Source organism: Homo sapiens, chromosome 11, assembly GCF_000001405.40.
Source record: "Homo sapiens chromosome 11, GRCh38.p14 Primary Assembly".
In the NCBI taxonomy this organism is placed as follows: domain Eukaryota; kingdom Metazoa; phylum Chordata; class Mammalia; order Primates; family Hominidae; genus Homo; species Homo sapiens.
In genome coordinates this window covers 63,401,509-63,411,694 of record NC_000011.10, presented here as the reverse complement: position 1 = coordinate 63,411,694, position 10,186 = coordinate 63,401,509, and the positions used below count along the sequence as shown (strand labels likewise).

The 10,186-nt window shown below is 37.7% G+C and overlaps 1 protein-coding gene across 3 annotated transcripts in view; it reads right to left on the bottom strand.

Annotated features, from left to right (window-relative positions):
- Positions 1–1,400: 1,400 nt before the first annotated feature.
- SLC22A9 (solute carrier family 22 member 9) overlaps positions 1,401–10,186 on the bottom strand; it is a 40,510-nt gene continuing 31,724 nt past the window's right edge. For 2 of the 3 annotated variants that reach the window (NM_080866.3, XM_047426335.1), the window contains 4 exons: positions 4,984–5,198; positions 3,475–3,583; positions 2,816–3,019; positions 1,401–1,893 (listed from right to left, as the gene is read on the bottom strand). In NM_080866.3, coding sequence (NP_543142.2) covers positions 1,833–1,893; positions 2,816–3,019; positions 3,475–3,583; positions 4,984–5,198 — 589 coding nt within the window. In that variant the 3' untranslated portion in view covers positions 1,401–1,832. The remainder of the gene's footprint in view (positions 1,894–2,815; positions 3,020–3,474; positions 3,584–4,983; positions 5,199–10,186) is intronic. The other variant, XM_017017159.3, reaches the window with a different exon arrangement.

The following is a 10,186-nucleotide window of genomic DNA, read 5'->3' as shown; positions in this document are numbered from 1 at the left end:
AGTCAAGTATATATATGTTTATTTGGAATTTACTTTCCTATTAATAACATGTTTTTCTTTTTTGAATTTTGGTAGCCAAGGCTCCTTTGAAAGCATGGTTTATTTGTTCCATTTAACTTGTTCTCAGCTATACTGAAGTATGATTGACAAATAAAACTTGCATATATTTGAGATGTACAGTGTGATGATACATGTATGTATACAATGTGAAATGATTGTCATAATCATAATCAATAATTGGTATATTGGTTTAGGAAATGTGATGGTTAATATTGAGTGTCAACTTGATTGGATTGAAGGATGCAAAGTATAGTTCCTGGGTGTGTCTGTGAGGGTGTTGCCAAAGGAGATTAACATTTGAGTCAGTGGACTGGGAGAGGCAGACCCACCCTCAATCTGGGTGGGCACCATCTAGTCAGCTGCCAGTGCAGCTAGAATAAAGCAGGCAGAAGAAGATGGAAAGGGCAGACTTGCTGAGTCTTTCAGCCTTCATCTTTCTCCCATGCTGGATACTTTCTGCCCTCAAACATCCGACTTCAGGTTCCTTAGCTTTTGAACTCTTGGACTCACACCAGTGATTTGTCAGGGGCTCTCAGGCTTTTGGCCACAGACTGAAGGCTATATGGTCAGCTTCCCTACTTTTGGGGTTTTGGGACTTGGACTGGCTTCCTGGCTCCTCAGCTTGCAAATGGCCTAGTGTGGAACTTCATCCTGTGACCGTGTGAGTCAATTCTCCTAATAAACTCACTTTTATATACACATATATACTATTATTTCTCTTGCTTTAGAGAACCCTGACTAATACAGGATATAAAGTTGAATTGTTAGTCATTTATTTCTGATTAGTTGGCTAATGCTATTTATTCCATAATTAGGTGTTTCCTCTAAGAATGTACAATACTGAAATTGTTACACATTAAATGTTATACATACTAAAGTCTACTTTTGAATTTCTTTGTTTTGTAAATGCATCTGCTAATAATGTTATGAATATTACAACTTATGATAAAATTCTGTGCATGCTACCCCACTTACCTGACAGCTACATTTTTCACTCCCTGATCTTCTTTTTTCTGAACCAAATGTCTACTATTAATTCCTAGATAAATTTGAATTTATTTTAAAGTTTTTGTAAAAGTAGCAGATTTTTCATTGTAATTATCCCACCAGTTACTCTATCAAATAATTGAAGAAGACACATTGTGTTTAATAGTACTCAATCTTCCTATCCAGAAACTTGCTAGGGACCTATAACTACATAAATAGTCTATTATGATTGATTTTAAAGTGTTATATAATTTTCTTCAAACTTTTTCTTACTATTATATGTAGATAGCTTATATTTAGTTATTTAGTACCACAATTGTGAAGTGAATCTACTGACTCACTATATCTTGTTATTTCTTTTCTTTTCTTTCTTTCTTTCCTTCTTTCTTTTTTTTTTTTTTTTTTTTTTGAGACAGTCTCGCTCTGTCACCAGGCTGGAATGCAGTGGCCCAATCTTGGCTCATTGCAATTTCCACCTCCTGGGTTCAAGTAATTCTCCTGCCTCAGCCTCCCAAGTAGCTGGAATTAAAGGCCTGTGCCACTGTGCCCAGCGAAGTTTTGTATTTGTTTTAGTAGAGACAGGGTTTCACCATGTTGGCCAGGGTGGTCTTTATCTTCTGACCTCATGATCTGCCCGCCTCAGCCTCCCAAGGTGCTGGGATTACAGGCGTGAGCCACCGCACCCAGCCTTGTTATTTATTTTCTAGATTTTGCTAGTGTCTAGGAATAGTCCTGATTGTTCCCTTCATCTGGCTCATTGATCGGCAGTCAGCTCCTGGAATTCCTTAAAACTGCGTCACTTCCACTCTCGGATCCTCTTGCTTTGGTTCTCTGGGGTCTTTTCTCCTAGAACAAATACAAAGAAACCAACAAAAAATCACAAAAATGAAAAGACATGGACTAAACATGTAAGTCCCGCATTCTTTAAGGAATGTTGATTCTTTGTCCATTAGTTTGGTAAAAACCATATCTCTGCCCCCAAGGGATTGAGTAAACCTTGTGAAGTAAAAGATGAAGCTCCCAGACTAGGATCTGGGAAGGCAGCTTGGATACTTTCTACTTGTCATCCTTGGACGCCTTGGTGCAAGCTTGTCCAGCCTATGGCCCACAGGCTGCCTGTGGCCCAGGATGGCTTTGAATGTGGCCCAACACAAATTTGTAAACTTTCTTAAAATGTTATGAGATATTTTTGTGATTTTTTTTTTTTTTAGCTCATCAGATATTATTAGTGTTAGTGTATTTTATGTGTGGCCCAAGACAATTCTTATTCCACTGTAGACCAGGGAAGCCAAAAGATTGGATACCCCTGCATCTGCATACTCTTCCACAAATTCTTCAGTGGCCTAGTAGTCAGGCCTGTAAGCACTGGCAATCTCAGACAGCTTACAGGTACCCACTTGTTTGAGGGTTTCCCAGGGATGAAAATCTGGTGTTTGGATCTCTGCATATTTGTAAAATACCTTCAACAGTGTGCATATCACACTAGGGCAGGGAGGGAAGAGGAGACCTAATTTTGGCTTCTTCACTATGAAGCCTCCTTTGACAAGCTGGGCAGAGCTGGTCTGTGTGATCTGGAGAGCCTCAGAGGGTGTCTGAGGTCACTGTGGGAAGGCATGTGGCTGTACCTAGACCTAAGGCACTGATTACATGGGAAAATCCTAAGTCTAAGCCTTTTGAGAGGACAGTGGCCCTAAATGGTATTTTGCCTTCCTCAGCACAGACCTATAGCACACAGATCCTCTGAGGGGCAACCGGGCTATTTACTCACTCATTTTTCTCATCCTGGATGGTGTCAAACAGAGGCTTGTTCCTGGTTTCAGGAAGGAGGAGGAAAGCAAAGCCAGAGATGAAGGGGAAGACTCCATAGATGATCCAGGGCAGGGGTGGAGAATACACACTTAGGATCATCATGAGGGGAGCCAGGGCTCCTGCTATATTAGCAAAGGTTGCATTGATCCCCATAGCTCTTGCCCTTTGAGTGGAAACAGCAATACAAGAATATCTGTTAAAAATCCACACAGGCAATTTGTGATTTATCATTTTGCTCTAATTATGGGGGAACATTTAGACACACAGAGGTGATGAAATACTCCTGTGTTTGAAATTTTCACTTTTATTTGCTAGCAATTAATTTTTCAGTTCACAAGTGCATTAGATGCATTTTCATCATTTAGGAAATACTGCTATCCTTAGCACCAACCTCTCAGGTGGCTCAGAAGGTTATGTGGGATACTATAATACATCAAAGGACTTAATACAGTGGCAAAAAGTCAGCTTGAGATAAAGTTGGTCTATAATTATTTGTGTTTATGACTGTTATGATTTATTTTCTTAATGAACCAGTCTTAGATTTCTTCCCGCAAAAAGTGTCAATTATCTGAGAAAGGTCCATTTTGAACCTGACAGGGCATACTTAAGGTTCTGTACCTGATTATGGTGGGAATTACTTCATTTCCATGGGCAAAAGCAAGGGTATTGGCAAGAGCAGACGCTCCTAAGCCCAGTGTTGCCAAAACCTCACGCAGCGTCTGCATTTCTGGAGAAAGGAAGAACACAAGGCCTCAGGAAATCTGAGCTGAAGGAATCAGCATCCCCAAGGTAGAAGTGAAAAGGACTGTATTGGAGGTGTTTGCAAGGGTTAAATGTACTGTAGGGAAACTGCATAGAGGCAAAGAATGTGCAGTGGCTGATAGCTGAGAAACATGATTTGTCTTCGCCTTGTGGCTTAAATAATGCATAAAAAGGATCTGAGCTATTACTTCACTTCTCACTATATATCAGAGATATGCCATAGCAAGAGAGAGGCGTGTAAGTTGAGCTGAATGTTTTTTCATTTATTCCGTCCAGGGACTCCTCTGCCTACCTGGTAGAACATAGGACTGTCATGTGGGCAATACTTGGGAGTATAAGACCCATCCATGTTCTCCTGGCCGTTAAAACCTAGGTACATACACAGTATTGACATGGGGCTAGGGTTGCAGAAGAGAGTCATAAAAGATCAGGAGGTCTATGTTAGGAGAGAAGCTAGAGAGTATTAATGTTTTAAGGATTAGGAATAAGGACCTCGAAAAGAGGAAAAAAAGTCAGACTTTGGAAAGCACTGAAGGGAAGTTTCAGAGGCTTGTTTCTATCCAACTGAAGAAATCCTGTCATAGCCTCATGACATTGGAGGGTGCTGTTGCTTTGTAGCACACTTGGATCATTGCTGGCATTCAAGAGGGGGAGTGGAGCACACCAATCTGAGATCCTGTTAGATACATTACTACACTAAGAGTTAGGTGAAGACTGGTGGCCACCTGGGTTCCCTTACTTATTACATATGATCAGTTAATTTCTTAAAATAGAATCTACAAGAGGCTATTAACTGACAATTTCTTCATTTCTACTGTACAGTTCTTTACATAAAGATGGGGCACTTTTGTTCCCTTGAAGTCAAGATGACTCCCCTAAACCAGATTGCAGTTATGGTGACCAAATACAAGGCACACAAGTAGATACATGGGAATTAGGGAGTACATTGTCACTGAAGCTGTAGTAATAAGAAAGAGCCCAGACAGAGGAAGTAGCAGTATTATGTCCTCATGTTGGGAAACAATGACAAGGCCTATACCTCAATACTCATTTAAAGTTTGATTGGCCAAAGAGTAAGTAATTGATTGCTGTTGTAGAGAAACTGTCAGAAATAAATGGCTTCAGTTTCTTAGTATTTGTTGAATATGATGAGGACAACCATATAATAGAGCCAACCTTTACTCATCTTTGACTCGTTTTCCAGCAACTTGTGGCAGAATCTGTCCCAAATCCCCAGATTGGTGTCAGGAAATCCTAAGAACCCAATTCTCCCTTTCCTTCTTGGCTTCAGATAGGTGTGACAAGTACAATCCCTGAGAAAAGAGGCAAAGGCATTTCTCTCTTCCACCTGTGATCTTTTCTCACCTTGTGGCACAAATATGATGGCCAGAAGGCAGATTGCCAGTAGGAACATGAGAAGCATCTGGCTTGCTCGACGGTTCATGTATTTCAGTGCCCAAGGTGCAACACAGTTGGCCAGGAGGATGACTGCACCAAAGAGAGTCTGCAACAGGAAAACATTGTTCCCCAGATGCTGGACATGGAGATTAAGGCCAAAATAGGCCATAAAGTTTGCAAATCTGTGATGATTAAAAAGGAAAGAAACATATTATAATCTGTGGAGCCTACATCCTACAAATGAGAATAATATTGGCCCAGGCAGCTAGGGATTGTTAAAGTATAAAGGCTGGGTCTATTTCATGGAATATTTTCTTGCAACGTGATTTAAAGAAATCTATTAAGTGATAATGATAACATTATGGAACTATTTGTGAAGAAGTTATTAATACTAGAGAAGAGGCTGGAAGTTAGATGCTTAAATATGTTCAGAAAGAGATACAGACTGTGTCTTATGAAGCAGGATAATTTCTGAAGACTTTTCAAAGGTATCTTTGGTAGCTTCTATTTGATAAAAATGAGACAAAAGTATAATACTACCTACAAAGATGATGACTAAAAGTGTGGGAAAAGAAGACAGTTCCATTTGAAAATGCTGCCACCTTCCTCCACAAAAGCAAACCAAGTCTCAAACTCATATTTCAACCACCAAGTCCTGTCTCTCAAAGCTAAAGTAAGTGACAAAGAGAACTGAAGATACCACAATATGTTGATTTTTAAATTATCGTAAAATGATGGTAAGACGATGATGGTCATAATTGTCATTAATTTTTTGGAAGACAGCAAGTGTTTTATGGAGGATTAAACTATGGGGCCTGAGGTTTATTTATTTATTATAAGTAATTGCTTTTATTAGTATTCTAAAGCCAATTTGCTCACATGACAACAAAAACCACTGCAAGACAATTCACTATCCTGAGGGCCACAAAATTAAAAGTAAAAATTTACAGATATTAGTCAAACTCCCAGTGAGTACCTCAGGAGCTGAAATGTCCATTTACCTCCATTACAATCAGAAATGTCACTAAAATGTACAACTTATTGAGTGACAGATTGTATATCCACAGCATTCACTGTGTAGTTGGTCCTGTGTAGTAAATCCAGAATGCAACAAGGAAACCTATTTTTATATTACTTATGTTTAATGGCATATAACCTCGTGATGGTTTTGTTTATTAGCATAGAAAGGAGTCAATAGTTTTTATTACGTTTTCAGAATACATATGTATCTTGTTAGAGGGAATTCCTACAATTTTATGTTGTCTCATCGTTCATTTTGATTACAAGTTTAACTTTCTCACAGCACAGCAGGGCTTAGTCGCCCTTGACACAGTTTCTAGTTCTCACACCACTTCCAAATTGCTCAAACCAGAAGCCAGAGATAACTTTGAGTCATCTCTCCTGTTTAGCTGACTGGGTTCCCTGCTTTCCTGTTGCTTCCTTTAAATGAACTATTCAGGCATTTACCTGCAAACTTTAAGTGACCCACACCTGATTTCTTTATATAAACTGCTAGTTGCCATGTATTCCTTTTATTATTATTATTATTATTATTGTTATTATTTCAATAGCTTTTGGGGAACAGGTGGTGTTTGGTTACATAGATAAGTCCTGTAGTGGTGATTTCTGAGATTTTGGTTTCTCAGCCAGTTGCTTCATTTCTGCCTCATCTGACATGGGGACAGAACACTGCCCTCCCAATTCATTATTCTCTCCTTTCCCAGGATCTGTAAGTAGACATCTTTGAATTTGCTTCTTCTTGTGGTGGTGTACTGAATTTACGCTTTCTGTCTGAAAAACTAGGGGCTGTTTCAGGCTGGGTTTTCCCTAGGACTGCAGTGAGAACACAATGTTAGGCAACCAGTGCCAGAGCAATGGTCAGGCAGACATAAACTGTACATGGGTCGGATAAGAGCCCCAAGGGCATCTGCCAGTATAAACAAGCTTCCTGTGTGAAGGTTCCCCTGGTCAAGGGTCAAACAACTAGGCATCAGGCCATCCACTGAAGGAAAAGTATTGCGTGAACACTGTAAACCCCTACATCCAGCTCCCATTCATTTTCTTTTTAGGGCAGGGTTTTTAACCACTCTGGTACTGAAATCCAAATTTAGTTGGGGGCTCTCAAAACACTTATTCATTTTTAAAATATTGTGATAAAAATACATAAGATGAGATTTACCTAGAAAACCCCATCGTCTCAGCCCAAAATCTCCTTAAGCTGAGAGATTTACCTACTTAACAAATTTTTAGATACAGTACAGTATTTACTGTAAGCATAATGTTGTACAGCAGATTTCCAAGACATTTGCATCTTGCATAACTGATACTTTATGCCCTTAAATGACAACTCCCTATTCCCCTCTGTCCGCTGTCCCTGAAAACCACTATCCTACTTTCTGCTTCTATGAGTTGACTTTTTTTTAGATATCTCATATAAGTGAAATCAGACAGTGTTTGTTCTTCTGTGCTAGCCCAAGGTTCATACATGTTGGGTATGACCTTTTTCTTTCTTTTTTGAGGCTAATATTCCATTATAGGTATATAACATATTTTGCTTATTCATTCATATGTAAATGAATAGTTAAGTTGCTTCCATATCTTGGCAATTGTGAATAATGCTGCAATGAACATATGGGAGTGCAAATATCTCTTCCAAATACTGATTTCAATTCTTTTCTGAAGAATTGAGATCCCATAACTGAAAATACAGAATCATATGGTAGTTCTAACCTCCATAGTGTCTTCATGGTGAGTGTAGCATTTTATATGGCCACCAACAATATACAAGGGTTCCAATTTCTCCATATCCTTTGAACACTTATTATTTCTTGTTTATTTATTGATTGATTGATTGATTTATTTATTTATTTTTGATAATGATAATCCTAATAGGTATAGGATGCTATTTCATTTTTTACGTGTTTAATCCTCCATAAAACACTTCATATTTTATCTCCTTTTCTTACCTTTTTATCTCTTTTTCTTCCCTAATTGCTCTTGTTAGAATTTCAAGGACTATATTGAATAGAAGTGGTGAGAGTAGAATCCTTATCTTGTTCTTGATCTTAAAGGAAGAGTTTTCAGTTTTTTATTGTTGAGTATAATATTAATACTGGACTTTTCACATTAGTCATTTATCAGTGAGCTTTATATGTTCATATGCTCTCATGCTGCTCTTTAGTGCCATTTTTTAAAGTTCAAGGTTTCCCTTTGGAAATAATAATAATGGAGGTGGGGTGCTGACAGACTCACTCAACTTTTGTTTGTGTGGGAAAGTATTTCTTTTCATTATTGAGGGATGGTATGCAAGATACAGTAATTTTTGTTAGCCTTTTATTTTTTCATCTCTCTGAACATATCATCCCACTCTCTGTTGGCCTACAAGGTTTCTGCAGAAATCTGCCATCCCCCAATCGTCTTATGGAGGACATTCTCTTAGTATGTAACAAGTCAGTCACTTTATCTTGCTGCTTTCAAAATTCTCTCTTTTCTTTGATAATTTAATCAGAAAATGGATTAATATGGAATTCTTTTTTACTTTTATATATTTGGTTTTTAGTCTTCTGACTATATTAATTTCACTTAATAGTCTGAAATTCTTAGAATCTGTCCATTTATCCAATTGTCAATTATATGTCATTGACTTTTTATAACAATCTTTTGTATTGATATATTTTGGAAAGTGTTTTTCTTCTCCTTAGATCTTCCTTCAGGGAAGCTGAAGCAAAAGTTGATGAGCATGTATATGTGTGAACTTCAAAAAATGGTGAAAGGTGAGCAAACATACAAATATTCTAAAAATGTTAGTGTTTATGGGAATTTTAGTGTCCTTAATTTCCAAAATAATTACATATTGAGTGAAGACAGTATAGTGTAAAAGGAAAGTAATATGGTATAATGGCTAGAAGTGCAAGATTTAATGTCAGATTAGTGTTCAAGTTCTGATTGTACCATTTACTAATTATGTGATCTTTTAAAACATAATTTTACATTTAGTTAAAAACCTTTTTTTTTTTCAACTTTCATTTTAGGTTAGGGGTACACATGTAGGTTTGTTACATGGGTAAATGTCACAGTGGAGCTCAAATAGCCAAATCAATCCTAAACAAAAGGAACAGAGTGAGAGGCATCACACTACCTGATTTCAAACTACACAACAAGGCTACAGTAATGAAAACAGCATGATACTGGCATAAGAGCAGATACATAGACCAATGCAACACAGTCATTAGATAACCCAGAAATAAAGCCACATATCTACAACTGCCTGATCTTTGACAAAGCTGACAAAAGCAAGCAATGGGGAAAGACTCCCTATTCAATAGATAGTGCTTGGATAACTGGCTAGCAATATGCAAAATTTTGAAACTAGACCCCTTCCTTTGACCATATACAAAATTCAACCCAAGATGGATGAAAGGCTTGAATGTAAGATGTAAAAGTGTTAAAAACACAGAAGAAAAGAGGAAATACCACGCTGAACATCAGCCCTGGCAAAGATTTTATGATAAAGACTCCAAAAAGCAATTGCAACAAAACCAAAAATTGAAAAGCAGGAACTAATTAAACCAAGGAGCTTCTGAACAGCAAAGGAAGCTAACACCAGAGTAAACAGACAACCTATAGAATGGGAAAAAATATTTGCAGGTTATGCATTTGACAAAGGTCTAATGTTTGGACTCTATGTGGGACTCAAATAAAGCAACAATAAAACAAACAAACAAACAAACCCATTAAAAATGGGCAAAGGACATGAACTGACAGTTCTCCAGAGAAGACATACACATGGCCAACAAGCATATAAAAAAACTTATAACATCACTAATCATTTGAGAAATACAAATGAAAGCAATAATGAGATAGCATCTTACACCAGTCAGAATGGCTGTTATTAAAAAGTCAAAAATCAACATGCTGGTGAGGTTGTGGAGAAAAGGGAACACTAGTAGACTGCGGGTGGGAATGCAAATTAGCTCAGCCACTCCAGCTTTGTTCTTTTTGCTTAGGATTTCTTTCGCTTTATGGGTCTTTTTTGATTTTGTGTAACTTTTAGGACTAAAAAAAATTCTGTGAAGAATGTCATTGGTATTTTGATAGAGATTGCATTGAATCTGTAGATTGCCTTGGGTAATAGGGACATTTTAACAATATTGGTTCTTCTAATCCATGC